Source organism: Homo sapiens, chromosome 15 (genome assembly GCF_000001405.40).
Source record: "Homo sapiens chromosome 15, GRCh38.p14 Primary Assembly".
In the NCBI taxonomy this organism is placed as follows: domain Eukaryota; kingdom Metazoa; phylum Chordata; class Mammalia; order Primates; family Hominidae; genus Homo; species Homo sapiens.
In genome coordinates, this window is record NC_000015.10 from 57,480,525 (window position 1) to 57,500,859 (window position 20,335).

Sequence of the window (20,335 nt, forward strand, 5' to 3'; positions counted from 1 at the left end):
AAGAAAAAAAGAAAGAAAATATGCATTGAATGTAATACTTTAAAAAGTTACAACCATCATTTGTCTGTGGGGGAAAATACCATAGTCCAGTTAGTTGTACCTGTCTCTAGTGGTCTTTGGGCAGGAGTTTGAAGAGATCATTGGAAAGACATCAGAAGAATTTAAATGACCCATATCCCGTCTTTCAGAATGAAACTAATATTCATTAAAAAAAATTGTATGCTCTGGCTGAGAATTTATACAGCCTTCTAAAGAGGAGACAGGTATGCTTTTGGTTTCCAGTGATCAGTCTGTGAACTTGGGGCATTACTCAGTGGATCTGGAACCTTCTTACTCTCACCAGTTGGTTTAGGCCATCCCCCTTCCTCTTGAAACCAACTTTGTTTGATATGTCATTGTAGATTTTCTATTATTTCCCCCAAATCATTCCTTAATGAACAGTACACCTTAAATGCCTTCTCTTTGTATCCAGAAATTATCAGCTCAACCAATAAATAGTATGTTTGTTAGTCAAGCCAGTGATCCAGGAAAGACCTGGGGTTTTTTTTTTTTTTTTTTTTTTAAAGATGGGCAAAGTTTAAAAAAGAATTTTTAAAAAATCAAACGTTTTGAGATAGTTATAAATTTATATGCAATTGTAAAAAAAAATACAGCTAGATGCCATATACCCTTTATCCTGTTTCCCCCAAATGTAATGTATTGCAAACTATAGTACAATAGCATGACCAGGATACTGACATTGATACAGCTGAGATATAGAACATTTACATCACTCCCCGCATTCTTCATGTTGTCCTTTTATAGCCATGCCATCTCGCTTTCCCTCCCATCCCTCCTTGACCCAACTAGTGTACTTCTCTCTGGTTTTTAAATTTTATCATTTCCAGGATGGTATATAGATGGAATCATACAGAATGTAACCTTTTGGAATTGGCTTTTTTCTCTCAGCATTGTTCTCTGGAGATTCCTCCAAGCTGCTGCATGTATCAACAGGTTCTTTCCTTTTTATTGCTCAGTGGTATTCTATAGTATAGATGCACCACAGTTTGTTCAACCATTCACTCATTGAAGGACTTATGGGATGTTTCTTGTTTTGTACTATTATAATAAAGCTTCTATGAACACAGCTTTTTGTGTGAATATGTTTTAATTTTTTTCTGGGATAAATAGGAGTGTGAATATGTTTTAATTTTTTTCTTGGATAAATATCTAGGAGTGTGAATGTGATTTAATTTTTTTCTGAGATAAATATCTAGGAGTGCAATTGCTAGGATGAATGGTAATTACATGTTTAGCTTTTAAAGAACCTGCAAAACTACTCTCCAGAATGGCTGCACCATTTTGCATTCCCAACAGCAATGTATGAGTGACCCAGTTTCTCTGAATTGTTCCCAGCATTTGGCATTGTCAATATGTTGTATTTTAGCCATTCTGATAGGTATATGTGATATTATATTGTGGTTTTACGCAGTTTTCTAATGGCCAATCATGTTGAATGTCATTTCATGTGCTCTTTTGCCACGTATATCCTCTTTGGTGAAATATCTATTCATGTCTTTTGCCCATTTCCTAATTGGATTGTTTGGGGTTTGTTTTTTTTTTAAACTGTTGAGTTTTCAAAATTTTTTATGTATTCTAGATATGAGCACTTTGTCAAATATGTGGTTTGTAAAGACATTCTTCCAATCTCTAGTAAAACAAAACAAAACAAAACAAAACAAAAAACCTTTTTAACAAGGTCTTTGAAAGGTACAAGTCTTTAGTTTTGATGAAGTCCAATTTAGTTTTTCCTTCTATGGATTGTGCTTTTGGTGTCAAGTCTAAGAATTATTTTCCTACCTTAGATCCCAGAGATTTTCTTCTGTGTTTTTGTTTTCTAAAGGTTTCTTAGTTTTGCATTTTACATTTAAGCTCACAGTCCATTTTGAGTTAAATTTTGTGTAAGGTGGAAGTTTAGTTTGAGGTTTATTTATTTTGCCTGTGAATATCCAGTTGCTCCAGCGCCATTTGTTGAGAGGGTTATTCTTCCTGCAATAATTGCTTTTGAACCTCTGTAAAAGTGGGTTGGGCATTTTTGTGTTAATTTCTGGGCTCTCTATTCTGTTTCATTGACCTGTGTGTCTATCCCTCTACCAGTATCACATAGTTTTGATGACTGTGGCTATATTATGTCTTAAAATCTGGTAGACTGAATCTTCCACTTTATTCTTTTTTAAAATTGTTTTAGCTATTCTAGTTACTTTACCTTTTCTTTTCTTTTCTCTCTTTTTTTTTTTTGAGATGGAGTTTCACTCTTGTTGCCCAGACTGGAGTGCAATGGCATGATCTCTGCTCACTGCAACCTCTGCCTTCCGGATTCAAGCAATTCTTCTGCCTCAACCTCCCAAGTAGCTGGGATTACAGGCAGCCGCCACCTCGCCTGGCTAATTTTTTTGTATTTTTAATAGAGACAGGGCTTCACCACATTGCCCAGGCTGATCTTGAACTCCTGACCTCAGGTGGTCCGCCCACCGCGGCCTCCTAAAGTGCTGGGATTATAGGAGTGAGCCACTGCGCCTGGCCTACCTTTTCATATAAATGTTAGAATTACCTTGTCTGTATCTATACAAATTTTGCTGAAGTTTTGATAGGTTGAGTATGACTATGTTGAGTATTCCAGTCCATGAACATGGTCTAAGTAAATCTCCATTTATTTAGATGTTCACTGCTTTCATCATTTGATTTTGTATTTTCAAGCATACAAGTCCTGTATGTGTTGTGCTAAACTTATACCTAAGGGTTTAATGTTTTTGAGTGATTATAAATGGTATATTTTTACATTTTAGTATCCTTCTGTTCATTGCTAGTATACAGAAATGCAGTTGTATGTTTTTATTTATGTTTATTTTATATCAGGACCTTTATTTCTTTACCTTGCTGAAATCACATATTCTACAAAGTTTTCTTTTTTTTTTTTTTTTTGTGACAGGGAGGTGGTAGATTCCTTGGGATTTTTTATATAGACAATCATGTCATCTGCAAACAGGGACAGTTTTATTTCTTGCTTTCTGATGCTTTCTGATCTATATACCTTTTGCTACTTATTTCCTGCCTTATTACGCAGGCTAGAAGCTCCAATACTATGTTGAATCAGAGTGGTGGGAGCAGGTATCCCAGCCTTAGTCTCAGTCTTAGGGGGAGGTATTCAGTTTCTTACTATTAAATATAATGTTAATTATAGATCTTTTGTGAATTGGATGCTCTTTAGTTGAGAATGTTCCTCTCTATTCATAATTTGTTTGGAGCTTAAAGAAAGTTTAAATCATGAATGGATTTTGAGTTTTGTTAAATGCTTTCTCTGCATTTATTGATATGATCATGTGATTTTTCCCTCCTGATTTTAAACTATCAAACCAGCCTAGCATTCCTGGAATAAACTTCACTTGATCCTACTGTATAATTCTTTTAAAAATTGCTGACTTTTATTTGCTTGTATTTTGTTAAGGATTCTTGTGTCTATATTAATGAAATATATTGGCTTATAGTCCTTTTTTCATGTTTTCCTTTCTTTTAGGATACTATTTGGATTTTGATATTGAATAATACTGACATCATTAAATGAGCTGAGAAGGATTTCTTCCTCTTCTATTTTCTGGAAGAGATTGTGTAGAATTGATGTTTATTCTTTTTTGAACACTAGGTAGAATTCTCCACTGAAACCAGTTAGACCTGGACATTTCTTTTGGGGGAGTTTTAAAATATGAATTCAGTTTCCTTAATAGTTATGAGGCTATTCAAATTATTATATTTAATATCGCATAAGTTGTGGTAGTTTGTACTTTTTAAGGAATTGGTCTATTTCATCTAAGTTGTCAGATGTGTGTTGAGTTGTTTATAGATGTCTGCAGGGTCTGTGGTAATATATCTTGTTTAATTTCTGATATTGGTAATTTGTATTTTATCCTTTTTTTCTTTGTCAGTCTTACCAGAAGTTTGTCAATCTTACTGATTTTTTTTGTTAACATTTGATTAGTGGTTTTTAGATTTTTTATTTTTTATTTTACTTTAAGTTCTGGGATACATGTGCTGAATGTGCAGGTTTGTTACATAGGTATACATGTGCCATGGTGGTTTGCTGCACCTATCAAACCATCATCTAGGTTTTAAGCCCCGCATGCATTAGGTATTTCTTCTAATGAGCTTCCTCCCCTTACCCCCCAATCCACTGACAGGCCCCGGTGTGTGATGTTCCCCTCCCTGTGTTCTCATTGTTCAACTCCCACTTATGAGTGAGAACATGCAGTGTTTGGTTTTCTGTTCCTGTGTTAGTTTGCTGAGGATGATAGTTTCCAGCTTCATCCATGTCCCTGCAAAGGATATGAACTCATTCTTTTAAAAGAATCAGTTTCTCGTTTCATTGGGTTTTTTTTTTTCTATTTTTTTTATGTTTTCAGTTTCATTGATTTCTGTTCTTTATTATTTCTTTCCTTCTGCTTGCTTTGGGTTTATATTGCTCTTCCTTTTCCAGATTCTTGAGGTAGGAGCTTCGATTATTGAATTCAGACTTCCTTTTTTCTAGTATCAACATTTAATGCCATATATTTTATTTTAATTTCCATTCAGGTCAGTGTGTGTTTAAAACAAAATTTTCTTGAGGCTTGCTCTTTGACCCATGGATTACTTAGAAGTGTGTTGTTTAATTTCTAAGTGCTTGGGTGTTTGCCTGTTGTCTAGTTCGAGTCCATTTTGGTTAGAAAACCAGTCTGTATGATTTCAGTCCTTTTACATTTGTTGAGGTTTGTTTTATGGCTCAGGATATGGTTTATCTTGGTATATATTCTTGAAAAGATTGTATATTTTGCTAGAAAGAGATTTCAAAAATAGTAAATATGAATCAACCTGAAGGATAAAAATAAATGATTTTTCTTTCCTTTGGCAATAGAAATATTGTTACTAGTTGGACAAGTTATCTTTATTCACAGCCTGAGTTATACAAAAAATAGGAATACATCCTTTTTGGTGGTTTACAAATCTAATTATATTTTCATGTTAAAAGTAAGTGGTGGAGGATATGTGAAGTGTCATAGTATTTGCCACAGAGGCTTTTTCCCATTCAAATTGTAATTGTGTGGAATTTTTTATTTTGTAGTTGCTTTAGTAAAAACAAATGATAGAAAAAGCTTGCTTTAAATTAAATTGAACAATGCATAAGAGTATAGAGTAGAAGAAAATATATTTTGGATCATACTTTTGACACCACCTTTTTCCTCTCTCACAATACATTTGGAGGATCTTTTCAGATAGACGTACATAGAATGTCCTGTATGCCATTCTTTGATGGCAGCAGCACAGCTCTCCAGATGCTGATTTAAAAGGAGTTTAGCCACGTGCCATTTCTTTCTTCTGGTGCCCAGTCTCACTAACCTCTCCTAATAGTCTAGCATTGGCCCCTAGAGAAATTCAAAGGTCTGCCAAGGTAAGTCAGCAAACCAGTCAAGGGCCAGGAAGTCAGGAATGTGTGAGTAGCTGAGTCAGGGGTCTGGAATCAGAAGTGAGGGTGAGTCAGGAGCAGGGCCCGGGCTGACTCAGGCAGGCTGAGGTGGTGACCTGTGGAATCAGCTGCCTTACTGGTGCTCCAGGGCAGGGGCAGGCTCACCATGCTGAGGCCTGAAACTTCACTTCTTTCAGGGATCAGCTAATAGATGTGGTCAAGGAATTTGGTCCCAGTCAACCTTCCCTGCTTCTTCTGTGTTAGGTCATCTGTCAGAAAATGTTAACCAAACTTTAGGGCCACATGACTTTGTTTCTCTTTGTGGAAATGGGAATGATATCACTGCAAAGAGTCAGGGAAGAGGTCGTGGGGGGAAAGGAAGAGGGGGTCAAATAAATCAGCGAGAAAGAGAGAAACAGTTGGAAAGCCAGACAGATACTGGGCGCTTCTGCAAGAGTTATAAACTGTTCTTATCACCAAATCTGGTCCATTCTGTCACTCACATGAGTCCGTCCAGTCTTCCTCTCTCTTATTCCCAAAATTTTAGCCTTTTAACTGAAGTCCCTCCTCACAGCTGTGGATTGATTGGAGAGAATGAGTGAGAACAGCTTGTCAAGGGTGACCTTCAGCTTTTACGTTAGGTGACTGGTGAATATTGGAGGCATTGAGAAGGAACAGAGGAGGTCCATGTCTTGGAGTGGTAAGTGGGATGAGGACTTCCATTTTGTGCATGTTGAATCTGACCGTGTTGAGTTTGAGGCATCTGTGGGACACCCAAAGAGGGGTATCTGGCACAAGAGAAAGGCTAGGCTGAAGCTACTGATTTTGGTTGGGCCCAACAGCTGCTTGCAATAGTTGCATGCTCCTGAGGGGGAGGCTGTTTGCATTCTGTCCTTGTTTTACATTTCCATTGGGAGTGGTGTTTTAGAACTTCTTACAGATGTCACAATAATTGTAGACCTGGCCCTACCAGCCATGCTTGAGGTATTATGTAGATTATCTACTTCTTTGCTGCTAGTTTTCCCAGCCCAGTTCAACTATTTCCTGATGCAAATGAAGCTTCTAAGTGTACAAACTTAAAATACCTTTATTACCAGTGCAACCACACTAAACTCTAATTGCCCAGCAACTAGAAAGACTAGGAGTAGACAGTTTATTGTATGTGTGCATTTTGATGGAGGGAAGAGATGAATATTTGCAAATTCATATTATGAAGAACAAGAGTACTTCTCCTTGGGAGATGGGTTTTTCCAAGATGGTAAATGAGTTGCAAAGAACAACTTTTTCTTTCTTTTCTTGAGCTTATTCAACTTTTTTTTTAAAGCTTATTTTGACTTCAGCCAACATTACTTATTTTCAGGTATACAGAGTCAAAAAAAGGTAAAAGAGGAGGATTGGTTTATTGCTGTTTTTCTGGGCAAAAGTGATACTTAGTGGGACCATTTGGCCAGTACTGACATACTGGGTTAGGATACATATTTTTCTCAAAAGCATTTTGAGGAATTCTTAAGGGTTGGCATTCTCTGATATTGGTAATAATATAAGTGTCATTGGTTGTTACCAAATGAATCTATATACTCAGATTTTCCTTTTGTTCAGGTTATTTTATATTTTAAAAAGATCCATGTTGAGGCAGATATTTATACAGAACCAAGTGATTAGAATTGTGATGAGTTGCTAGCTTTGTAGATTGTGCTGTTATTGAGAACTTTGCCTTTACTGGTTTTTTACTTCTCTTAATGTACAGATCTGAGAAACAGAGTTGCTGTAAAAGTTCAAATGCTGCCAGATAGGCTAAGTGGGGAGAAAAAAACCTTTAGATTACCTCTCTCAAAGAGAGTCACCAATATTCTACAGTCTCTGGATATAGTTTTCGAGTATACAGAGGGTACAAGGTTTTGCATGGACGGACGTTTTCATTTCTTTGGCGTGTATACCTGGGAGTAGAGTTGCTGGGTCATAAAATAACTGAGGAATTCCCAAAATGTTTTCCAAAGTGACAGAACCATTTCTCATTCCCCTAGTAATGCCTGAGGGTCTTCATTTCTCCACATCCTCTCCCACACTTGTTATTATCTGCCTTTTTTATGATAGCCATCTTCGTGGGTGTGAAATGGTATTTCATCGTGGCTTTGATTTGCATTTCTCTGATAACTAATGATATCAAGTATCTTTTCATGTGCTTATTGGCCGTTTGTATGTCTTCTTTGGAGAGCTATCTGTTCAGATTCTCTGCCTATTTTAAAATTGGGTTGTCTTTTTATTACTGAGTTGTAATGGTTCTTTATATATTCTGGATATCAGTCTCTTAGTACATATTTAATTTGCAAAATTTTCTCCCCTTCTTCAGATTGTCTTTTCACTTTTTAAATGCTATCCTTTGAAGCGCAAAGATTTTTAATTTTCATGATGTCCAGTTTACTCTTTTTTCTGTTGGTACTTGTGTTGTATCTAAGAAACCATTTCCTCATCCAAGGTCATGAAGACCTTCTCTTCTTCTGCAGTCGAGTGAGAAGTGAGCAGAACTGGTGTAGGGACTGCTTCTACTGAAGGGGGTGCAAGAGAGAAGACTTAGCCATGTCATCCTTGATCATAAAGGTGATCAACACTGAGAAAGCCCAAGGGTACACTGGTCCCTTCAGTCAAGCTGCATTAGTTGACGGGATCCTTTACATTTCAGGAGAGCTAGGCATGAACCTTTCGAGTGCACAGCTTGTGCCAAGAGTGGGTAACAGAAGAAGCTAAACAGGCCCTTAAGAACATGGGTGATATTTTGAAAGCTGCAGGCTGTGACTTCACTAATGTGGCAAAAACAACTGTTTGGCTAGCTGACACAAATGACTTCCGGGCTGTCAATGTAATCTACAAACAGTATTTTAAGAGTGGTTTTTCTACTAGAGCTGCTTACCATGTTGCTGCTTTACCCAAAGGAGGCCAGGTTGAAATTGAAGCAGTAGCTGTTCAAGGACCTCTCACAACAGCCTGTCTATAAGTGGGCCCAGTGCTGTCTAGTCCGGAATTTTTAACGTCTTCATTGTCACAGTTGATATAACATCTTAATTAACATCTTGATTTTTATAATTGATGAAAAGTGTAAGTTTGACTAAAGTATCCAAAGTTATGGAAATACTATATAATAGAATTAAACATGAATTGAAGGTTAGATGGTGAATCCAGTTACTGATGTTACAAATTACACTTATGCACACCCATATCACTGAATGTAGGAAAGAGATACTCATTACATAGTTACTCAAATAACAGGGAAATAACATGTAGGAAAGATGAGTTGTTGTTCCTGAGAAATAATCAAGAGCATACCTAATTCCAATAAATTGAGTGATGTCATATATTTAGTTATCATGTCAGGTATGTGATTCTGGTAATTCTGCTTTTACTAGTTTAAAATTAAAATATTTAAATTTGAATGGTAGGGGTAAAGAAATAGAAAATGGACCAAAACTTTATATAGATAATATTTTTCTAATGGATAGAAAATAGACATGCAGATTTAAGCTTTACTCTTTTTCTAAGAATTTAATAGTTTTAGCTCTTACATTTAAGTCTATGACTCATTTTGAATTAAATTTTGAACATAGTATGAGGTAGGAGTCTATTTTATTCTTTTGCATGTAGATATTAGTTGTCCCATCACTGTTGGTTGAAGAGACGATTCTTGCCTCATTGAATTGTCTTAGCACTATTCTGTTCCTCTTAAGTTTTATTTTCCAGGCTCCCTACCATTCAAGTGGTTTCCCAGACATTAGTTTTGGTGCTGAAGCTTGGATATTAAAGCATCTGCTCAAAAGAGACTGTTTAGACCAGAAGTGACTGAGATACTACTAACTATTAAGTTCAAGTTAGGATTACTGCCATTGTAGGTAGATGAGAGGTTGTGAGAGAAATTAGAGAGATTGTGAGGAAAATTAAGCTGTTACTAGAAAAATAAAAACAGTAGCGTTTTCTCTGGATGTCTGGAGGTTGGGGAAGCATATTTTCAACCCTGCTTTGTGTGCAGCCTTACTGATGGTAACTTGGTCACCTGGAGAGATTTCGTGACAGACACAATTTCTCTACTGTAGACTGGACTTTTACACATGGACAACAGTAGTTACTTGAAATAGTGAAAAAAAATGAAAATAAGCAATAAAAATCAGGAATTCTCATAGTGGCTGTGTTACTCTGCTATTAAAAAGCTGTGTAACCTCAGGCAACTGCTCCAACCTTGCTTTATCTTATATTAAATGGGGATACTGGATTTATGACCTCTGGCTCTCTCTGGCATTAAAGTTCTATGACGTTGATGCATTTGAAGATGATGTTAACGTGGGCAGGCTTTGATGTTTAGAAACCACATTATAAAAACCTACCTAGCAGTGCCAGAAAGTAAGGAAGTGCTCCAAACACACACACACACGCACGCACGCGTGCGTGTGCACTCACATTGATGAGGTATGGCACAGGGACACAGGAACGAAATACAGAAGCTGCCGGTGGCCAAAGTCACAAAATAAGGTAGTATTGGATTATGACCCCAAAATAAAATAAATGCTCATGGTGTTCACACTGATGTAACAAGTAAATGAATACATAAATGGGGAATAATAGAGGACTCTACCTTCTGGAAGAGTTCCAAATAATTTATTTAGATATATTGCCTTCAAGTAGGTAGGGGCTCACACCCCATTCTTGAAGTTGGGCTGCACATAGTGAATTCCTTCCAGAGTGTACAGGATGAAGTGGGGGAGAAAAGAGTCACTTTTTCTGGTGGACTGGGGAGTCAGTAGAGAAACCTGATAAACATTACGTCAGCCACGTGATCAATTTCAGCATCAATCACATTGATAGTATCTACCCTTGATATGATATGCTGAAAATGACACTTTACCTTCATGGTCTTTCTACCCCAAACATCAGACAAATTCCAATTGAGGAACATCCTGCAAATATACCTTGCGCAGTACTCCTCAAACTGTTACAGTCATCAAAACCAGGGAGTCTGAGGAGCCGTCACAGCCAAGAGGAGCCTGAGGAGCTATGATGACCGAATGTGATGGAGTATCCTGAGTGGGATCAAGAGTCAGAAAAGGATGTTAGGTAAAAACTAAGGAAAGCTGAATAAAGTATGGACTTTGGTTAATAATAATAGATCAGGATTAGTTCATTCATTATGACACATGTACCATGTTCGTGTAAGATGCAGTAACAGGGGAAGCCGAGTGTGGGATGAAAGGGAATTTTGTATTATTTTAGCAGTTTTTCTATAATCTAAAGCTTTTCTATAGATAATTTTTCGTTTAGAAAAACCTACCTGGGGGAATATTCTAACACCCAGTTTGGTGCCTCTTCTGTGAAGTCATCCTCAAGCAGCCTCCTTCCCACAGTGCCACTGCTTTCTCCGTGGCACCAGTTGCATCTCTGTTCTGCCACTGGCACTGCAGTTAACTTCCTCTCTTGTCTGCCCTGCAAGGCTGTGAGCTCTTCATTCATCTTTATGCACAGCTTCTGGCACACAAGACGCACTCACATGTTTGTTAGCTGATACAATGAAAGAATGAGCCCTAGAACATATGTTTCCTGAATCCACTACATGTACCACTTTTTGCTTTGAGTCCCTGTACTCGAAGATGCTCACATTGTAGCTAAGAGGCAGAATAGTAACGGGATAATGATGCCCATGATGTAGGAAGAACAGATGAATCTCCGTTATAGAAGAGTTCCAAATAATTTAGGAAGAGAAAGAAATGCCTACTCTCTCTACTTTAGAGAACAGCATAAGTTTTGCAATGAGAATGTGTCAGAAAAGTGCTTTAAAAATATGTTCATCCCAAGAAAGATGCAAATAGTACTGGGACCAACTCCCCTCCTCCTCCTCCTTCCTGCAAACATACCTGGCCCAGTATATGTAACTCCTGAAACTGTTACGGTCATCAAAACCAGGGAAAGTCTGAGGAGCTGTCACAGCCAAGAGGAGCCTGAGGAGCAATGATGACTGAATGTAATGTGGTATCCTGAATGGGATCAAGAGCTGGAAAAGGACGTTAGGTAAAAACTAAGGAAAGCTCACTTCCAGATATTTCCAGTCAGAGACTTTATTACTTCATTTAAGGCTTTTAGTCTTTGAAATCCTCAGGTATGATGACTTATCTGGAGGCATACACTTGATTTATCAACTAAAGCCTTAGGTTTCTCACTCTGGTGAAGGCAGAACCTGGAGACCTGGCAATAGGAGGCACATCTTAAGGGAGGTTAGAGGATCTGATCAGTTCATTGATCCTAGAAATTGACATTCAAAAGATGAGGTGGGCCTAACTTGATTCATTTCCTCAGAGGCATCACACACATTTCAGGATTACACTCCAATCCTACCTAATAACAGTGTACAGATTAAGGAGTGCTAGGTTCTCATTTGCAAGGAAACTTTGTGAGCAATAGATTTGCAACTTTGTTTATACATTGACATTTTTCATAGGTTGAATCTGAGAATACTTACAAAAGCACATAGAGTAAAATAAAAAAGATATTTCTAAAAGATCATAGGAAATATAAATGTAAATAGAATCAATTCTGGGGATAGTGAGGACAAATAGAACCCAGCTGTGTAGTCCAATAATCTTGAAGGTGAATTAGAGATGTAGTCCTGAGACTTCTGGCAAAGTGAAAAAGGAAACACGATCAACTTCATGACTTTTGTTGTCCATAAGGAAAAAAAAAACCCAAAACATTTCCTCAGGGGAATTAAAGCTTCTCTTGACATATAATGCTGGAAGTTATACCCAAGTTTCCTTGCTAGCCTGGGGACCTGGGGACCCATGAGCAGAGAGAGGAGGTAGATGCTGAGATCCAGGCATGCACACTGTCATCTCTACATGCCTCAGGCCCACACATCACTGAAGAAGAAACAATAATTGTCCCAGAGTCTTGAATACGTCATCAGGTATGGGCATTTTATTTCCAGATTTTACTTCCTTACTGTGAAGTATGAGATAACATCTGTCCTTCTGCACGTGGGATAAGGGGACGAGTCTAGCTGCTAAATGTGAGTGTATGAGTATGATTCTGAGGTCTGGTTTGATACCAGGAGTTAATAAGATAAAGAACATAATAAATACATTAGACCAATATTAGTACTTTAGATAGTGAGTTTATGATTTCAAATTTGCAGTGAAGTTAATGCTGGTAAAGTTGAATCATATTGATCCTCTTGCCTTTCTTTTGAAGATATTAAAATTTAAGTAAGAGCTGAAGAAGATGATCCTTACAAGTCTGCAGTCATTCAGAATTACTCCACTTGTGCTCTCTTCTTTTGACAGGGTTACTAGGCAAGGAGATTTGGGCCACAGACAGATTTTGGAAGGAGCTTTCTAGTGATGGATGACAGGACTCTTGGTCCTGTCATGTTAACTTGTTTTTCATGACATAAAGACACAGAAAGCATGCTTATCAAGACTGTACGTGACCCAAAGCAGGCAGAGACAGCCCAAGTACAATATGGCAGAACCAAGATTCACAATGATCTCAATGGTCAGAAACAAGGGATTAAAAATCAACTTGATTAAACTGAAAAGAGATACATGATATCTGCTGTTTCTTTTTCTTTCCGTTTTGGGGATTAACTATAGAATGAAGACGCATGAGTTAGTAGGACTTCTGGATGATCGTAAGCTCCACTCCCTGGCAGCAGCACAGATACACTCATGTGTATAAGGAAACATGCTATCAAGTTTTAGAAACCTTTGAAGTACCATTTAGTGGATTTAGTGAGATTGCATATTCTCAGATTCGATGCTGTTCTTTCCATCTGCTATGGTTATAATAGGTGCATAGTTACTTTCCACAATCAGAGGTTTTCAACAAATAAAAAGTAGTTATGGAGCTCCAATTGTATATATGACATTGGTCCAGGTACTGGAGCTAAGAAGATAAGCAAGACATAGTCCAGATCCCCAAGAGAACCAGGCATCTCTCCTAAATATGTGTAGATGAGGGATGGATTCATGTACCACATGTGTAACCCCCAGTACCTAGAAGAATGAGATGGACAATAAGTGCTAAGAGAGAGATTTGAAAACACTGATTGGGGTATGAACCTGAAAATCACTTAAAAAATAAATCTGCAAAGCAAGGGATGTAGGCTCCAAAGACCGTCATTTTTATATGCCTGTGTTCTTGCCATTTAAAAAGTTTTACATTTATAGGTTCAACTAGTGACTTACTATTCTCAAGGTATAGCCATCAAATGAATATTTCTAACTGGATAGTGTGTGAGTGGGGAGGGGTTGAGAAGGATCTGTATTCTGAAATGGAGGCCAAGAAGCTTTGTTTATGATGGAAGTACAGAGGTGGAGTTCTCGTTCTCTTCTACATGTCTCTAGGACCCTCCTGTGGTTCTGTTGAAATCCAGGCTGTGAAAGAGTCCACCTCTGCCACCACCCTTTTTCTTTGTTCCTTTTTTCTCCTCTGCACCTGGATTCAGCATTTAACACCCTTCATTTATGAGCAACTTATAATAAACTACTCATATGTGATTAAGCCATTAAAAATAGAAGTAGAAAATGTAAAAGCAGGAGGAGGGATGGATTTTGTTTTGGGAATCGGCCCAATCCCATGAACTTTCTGTTCTTTCTGTTTGGGGCTAAATGGTCCCGATTCTTCATTTCAGACTAATTGCAAACTGGTGTGCATTACATTTTCCATCCCAGAACAACTGGATTATGGCTTTCTGTTCATTCCTGAACTCTAGCCACTTGCAATGGTGCACAGTGTTCAGCTGGCATCTCATCCAGCAGATTTTGGCCAAGGGTGTTCCCTGGAAACTCGAGTGTCTAGGCATGAGCTCAGACACTGGCGTGTTTGCCATCCCTCTAAATGTCTCCATGTGCTTCATGTATAATTCTAACTGTAAAGCCAGAAGGTAGCTCCTCTTCTCTGCATGCAGTAGCTTTCTCATTGCTCCTGTCTTAGGGATTTATCACTCATTCCTTGTATGACAGGAACCGTGAAGATTGTTTTCATCACCTCTACTGGAAATGGCTTGAATGAAGGTCTTTTAAAAATCTTTCTTTACATCCTTCTGGGGGCTTTATAGGGTAGAGGATCAGTTCATATAACTTGGCTATACCCTGTGGGTCCTTAAACCATGATGCTTCCTGTAGCTTTTACAGGAAGCATTTCCTGTGAAATCTCTGAAATAGTTTTCACGTGTAACTTAGAAACCAGCTGTCAGCAACTCATTTGCATGGTATCATCAGTATCCTTTTTGCTTTCTCAGTCAGCTCATTTACCACCATGCCTTCCAGTTGGTGTTGGTCTCATTACCAGCATCTTGGTGGATTGTAAGATGCAGTGACTCTGGAACCTCTGCCAGCTCTGAGACCTCGAGGTGGCATTGAGCTGTCTTGTGGGAAGGCCTCCCTTCTGTGTCAAGTATTCCTCATGGTTATTACCAGCTTGTTTCTTTAAAATCAAATGTCTCGTAAAATGTGAATTTCTGGTTTTATACCTGCAATGATTCAAAAACAGCCTTTGTTTGCCCCTTTGACCTAGGAACACCATTAAGGAGAGAAAGAAAGGATGACAGTAAATAATCAGCCCTAGGGACTCTCCGTCTAGGAAAATACAAAGGTATAGCCACTCTACTGTTTTCAAGCTCTACATATGAGAGCACTGATGAATGATTTTGGGGAGGCACTTATAAGCACCAAGTAAGGGTGTTAAATGAATCCACATTGTCTTGGGAGGTGTTTCACATGACTTGGAGTGTGACCAGCCCTATTTTCCCTGATGTAGATAGACTTTAATAAAGCATTAGGTCCCAGTGCCATTGTAAATTTTGTTAATACCAAGTGAAGGCCAAGGGAATTGGGAAGACATCTATTTTCATGTGAAAACATAACTTTGGAAGCACATAAAGCAACTAATTGACAAAAAAAAATGAAAGCATATTTCCAGAAGGCCAAGAATGTCTTGGCAATCCAGATAAATGCTGTTTGTAAAAGCAAAACTGATAACCAGGAATGACTGTGGAATGGAGCCTCATGAACTCCAAGATAAGATAAATGAGTGAAAGACAGGAGGAGGGAAGTGTGTGTTTCCTGGGAAAATGTTCTCAGGGTTATTCTAAAGCTCACTTAGACAGGCTTACCAAGGCGACAAATACATTAAAAACAAAACAAAACCCTCCAAACAGCCTTAGTTCCTTACTTGTAGGGCCTTAAAACCAAAACGTGACTGTTTCTCAGAAAATCATGGTAATTTTTAACAGAATTACCTATTGAGAAGATCAAGAGTTGTGCTTGACCTGATATTTGGGTTGAGCCCTGCCTTCTACTCTAGGGGTCCCCAGCCCTCAGGCCATGGACTGGTATAGGTCTGTGACCTGTTAGGGACCAGGAACACAAACCCTATTGTTAACTGTGCATGCGAGGGATCTAGGTTGCATTCTCGTTATGAGAATCTGTAGTAACTAATGCCTGATGATCTCAGATGGAATGGTTTAGTCCTGAAACCATCCCTCCCCTCAACCTCCGCCGATCCATGGAAAAATTGTCTTCCCCGAAACTGGTCCCTGGTGCCAAAAAGGTTGGGGACTGCTGCTTTACTCCATTCCAAGTCTGTCTTGTAAAGGAATGATCAAGAAAGAGGTTGGTGGCCTTTCGCTAGTAGTTGGGGTGGTAGGTGGTATATTGTAGAGGATGAAAGCATGAGCCCTGGAGTCAGACTCACATGGAATCCTGGCTGTGTGCCTTGAGTCAGGACACCTCACTGGTTGGAGCCCCTGTTTCCTAATCAATAAAATCAGGATAATTACAGAGCCCAGCACACAGAGCACAGTGAGGGTGAAATGAGCCCATACATTCAAGACTTGGTAGCACAGTGTCTGGCCACCAACAGATGGGTGCTGATAGACTCAGAGAGGGGAGAAGAGCCAGGGGCCAGGCACAGCAACAGCTCTGTGGTTGCTGAGTCCGGCAATGCTGAGAAGGATGGCAGTTGCATCCACGTTGTGTGGAAGCAGCACTTCAGCAATCCAAACAGAGCAGCAGACCCCAGGAATGGGAGTCTGACGCCCCCGAGGCCCCACATCCTGCTGTGTTTGGCGGTATGGGGATGGCTGGGGACTGATATCCCAGCTGGTGCAGGCCCAGGGATCTTCTGGCAGGTCTCTGTAAGTGCCTGGTGCATCTGGTGACTTCAAACAAAGGGCACCAGTGACAGCGTTGGTCCAACAGGAAAGAAGGCCTTTGGCAAGAGGGCCTCTTTGTTTGCTCCTGTGTGTGTGCACCTTGTCTGCCCTGACAGGCGGAACTCACTGTTTGTTTTGTGGAACAAAGAACAGGCCTCGTTAGATTGGAGTGGGAACTGGGGGCAGGTAGGGGGAGCAGGGTGGGGCGGGTGGTGGCAGGGTTCCTGTTGTGACAGCACACTCCAGGAGAAGCGTCTGGCATGTGTCTCTTGGCCTCAGCAGGGGAAAAAGAATAAAGACACATTCTCATGCTTCAACTTTGATCCTGCAAAGTAAAAGTCTGCAGACAAGGGTCTTGAGTGGCCTGAACCTCTTCACTCTCTGCTTCTTATTTAACATAAATAGGAAAATTATTGGAGCTAGCTGCTTACCACAGAATGAGGTGAAAGAGAGGGCTACAGTTTCCAGAAATGCAGCAGTTCCACAGGAATGGAGGGTGTGGGTGGGCCAGGCAGAGGGGCAGGCCCTGCGGAATCTGGAAATGGTGGCTTCAGCTCAGGCCACAGGAGCTGAGCATGTATGCTGTGCAGCAGAGATGCGGGCTTGCACCCATGCACACACGGGCGGCGGCCTGTAGGAGTCCTGCAGGGAAGAAGCCCAGCTGTTGTATAGGGAGGCATTTCTTTCTCACATTAGTGGGCACTTCCATTTTCCTGGTGCCCTCAGTGTCACGCTGAGAAGAGTGTGAAAGACATTCTCTGTACACTTGAGGATCAGAGGTGGGGATGGTCTAGATGGAAAACAGAATTGAGCAGAAAGCAGCCCGTCCACAGGTACCACACTGTGGCATGTGCTGTTTTTTTTCCATCTGCACTGCCTTTCCCTTCCCTCTGTGTGTGGCACCAAGCACTCTGCAGCTTTACCCGTCTCACCCAAATAGAGTTAAGGCTCCCTCACCTCCTCTTCATAGCATTGGGTTCTTGTCTCCACTATAGAATATATAGTCTTGTGTTGTGCTTTGTTTTTTCACATCAGTTGCTCATACTTAGGTTGATTGGGGAAACAGTTTTTTTTTTTTTTTTTTTTGGAGACCAGGGTCTCACCCTGTTGCCCAGGCTGGAGTGCAGTAGCTTGATCATGGCTCACTGCAGCCTCAATCTCCCGGGCTCAAGCGATTCTCCCACCTCAGCCTCTCAAGGAGCTTTTGTAATGACAAGGTTTTGCCATGTTGCCCAGGCTGGTCTCAAACCCCTGGGCTTAAGTGATCCATCCACCTTGGCCTCCCAAAGTGCTGGGATTACAGGTATGAGCCCCTGTGCCCAACCTGTTTTTGTTTGTTTATTTGTTTTTTGTTTGTTTGTTTTTTCTTTTTTTGAGTATTTACTTGTGGCCAGACACTGTATTAAGCCTATGAGCAAAAATGGATGCATGCTGTCTATCCTAAAACGTTTACAGAAAACATAAGAAAAAAATCATACAAGTAAATAAAAATCGCACCCATGACAAGGCTTATGGAGGAGAGGGGCTAGGATTTGACCTCATTTGTGTGGTCAGGGACCATTTCCTTGAGGAGGTGAGGATTGGTAGAGAGGAGGCAGAGTCTTCAGGCAGACACGCAGAGGCCCTGGGGTGGGAGGAAGTATGGTCCAGGAGGAACTTTTTTTTAAAAGCCAGTAGAAGGATGGGGTGGGTGAGGAGGAGGAGTGTGGTGTGAGATGGGGCTGGAAGGGTACGTAGATGATACAGACATTGGGGACTGAATTAAGGAGATTTGTTTTTTATTTTTGCGTTTATCCTTAAGAGCGCAAGAAGGCCACTGAAGCATTTGGTGGAGGGTGACATGATCTGATTTGGGATTCAAAATAATTTCTCCTGCCCCAGTGTGTGGGGATGGATTGGAAAGGGCAGAAGAGGGGATGTGGGTAGACCAGCTTGGAGGGTCTTGCTGTTGCCCAGGAAGGAAACGTTGGCAGCTTGGAGTCGCATGGCAGTGGTAGAGGTGGAGAAAGGAAGAAAGAACTGAGATAAACTTGGGAACTCATGAAATAAAGTTAATGGCTTTTTTTTTTTTTTTTTTTTTTTTGGAGACGGAGTCTCACTGTGTCACCCAGGCTGTAATGCAGTGGTGTGATCTTGGCTCACTGCAACCTCTGGCTTCCAGGTTCAAGTGATTCTCCTGCCTTGAGTAGCTGGGATTACATGCTTGTGCCACCACACCTGGCTAATTTTTGTATTTTTAGTAGAGGCGGGGTTTCACCATATTGGCCAAGCTGGTCTGAAACTCCTGACCTCAAGTGATCTGCCTGTCTTGGCCTCCCAAAGTGCTGGGATTACAGGCGTGAGCCACCGTACCTGGCCTACATGGCTTTTCTTATTATGTAACTTCTCAGAGTCTTTAATATGTGGGTTAATGTAAATTGTGATTCTCTGAGAAAGGACTCGACCACAAGAATTTTCCACAGTGTGACCGGGCCGCAAATCTTTTTTCAAAGAATCTTCCACAATATTTCATTCCATAGCATACTTCTGGGGAAATACTGCATTACATAATTGATTCTTTTTTGGGTACTTTCCACAGATAGTTGTAGATATTATACCAAGGTCTGTAATTGGGAATGGGCCTGACCCAGTACAAAGAGGAATGTGTTTGACACAGGGTTTGAATTGAAGCCTTGGGCAGATCAGATGGAATAGGTAGACTGAATTCAATTTAGGAAGGTTTTGGAGGCCAGGCTGAGGGGAGTTTGGATGCATTTTGTTGTGTGTTGGGAGTCGTTCTGGGCTCTGAGCTGTGTCATGGTGGAAGTACCATCTTGGCTAGGTCATTCTGGAAGATACCTGGTAAATGGGTTGGGTGGTGAGGTGTGTATTGGAGTTGGGCAGCCTTGCTTTCTAGCAGTGACTGGATGAGAACCTGGGTGTGGGGAGTGGGAATGGGGAGTGAATCTTTGGGGTTGAGAAGGAAGTGTGAGATGTTTTCCTTCATACCCTTTTCCTTTGGTGGGTGGCCACTGTCAACAGCTGAAAACAAGAGAGGCTCTTCTGTGTTTTTCTGAGGCCAGATAAGCATAAGGAGACCCTTGCGGCCCGTGGGTTCCTGTGCAGCACTGGCAGAGAGGCCGTGTGTTGGGAATGGTGCTGCCATTGTCAGGGAGTGGGAGAGGAATTACTTACGTTAATAGATGAAGCCCGAGGAGGAGGTTAAGTTGGCATCAAGGCCATCAACTTCCCGCCACGGCTGAGATGTCCCTGTGTGACTTTGAACAGGCCACTTAACCTCTCCAGGCCCCAGTTTGCTCATCTGGAAAATGAGAGGCTAGAACGAACGTCAGGCCCCTCCTGAGCTGGAATTCCAGCCATCTCGGGGAACTGAACATTGTTAATTAGGGCAATCATTTATCAGGGTCAGCAAGAGCCTGTGCTCCCAGAGAACTATCAGTTTTGTGAAAAATGTGGATTGAGAATGAAGACTTTGGGAAAAAAAAGCGTGGAGCGTTCAGTTCACCCATTCCTCTGAAATTCAGGCATCTTTTCTGAGGCAAAGATGTAACAAAGTGAGGCCGACTTTAGCCAGGACAGACTTTTTAGCAATGCAAAGGTAGACAGCATCCTATGAATGAATGAATCGGCTAACTGAATGCTTATTTTAGGAACAGAGGGCGCTAACATTTTATTTTTAT

The 20,335-nt window shown here is 40.3% G+C and overlaps 1 protein-coding gene and 1 pseudogene across 22 annotated transcripts in view, besides 2 other annotated features; both read left to right on the top strand.

Moving 5' to 3' along the window:
• The window catches only part of CGNL1 (cingulin like 1), a 174,213-nt gene that overhangs the window by 104,020 nt on the left and 49,858 nt on the right, over positions 1-20,335 (top strand). The window lies entirely within an intron of this gene.
• Positions 4,928-6,127: an enhancer, noted in NCBI's record as "P300/CBP strongly-dependent group 1 enhancer chr15:57777650-57778849 (GRCh37/hg19 assembly coordinates)". NCBI's record gives its function as "activates an origin of replication core promoter dependent on BRD2, BRD4, P300/CBP, MED14 and CDK7 cofactors, with strong dependence on P300/CBP, by STARR-seq in HCT116 cells {active_cell/tissue: HCT116}" and the evidence as "EXISTENCE:reporter gene assay evidence [ECO:0000049][PMID:35650434]".
• RIDAP3 (RIDA pseudogene 3) lies at positions 7,788-15,028 on the top strand (annotated as a pseudogene).
• Positions 16,060-16,902: an enhancer, noted in NCBI's record as "H3K4me1 hESC enhancer chr15:57788782-57789624 (GRCh37/hg19 assembly coordinates)". NCBI's record gives its function as "activates a minimal SCP1, AML or CMV promoter by ChIP-STARR-seq in naive H9 embryonic stem cells {active_cell/tissue: H9 hESC(naive)}" and the evidence as "EXISTENCE:reporter gene assay evidence [ECO:0000049][PMID:30033119]".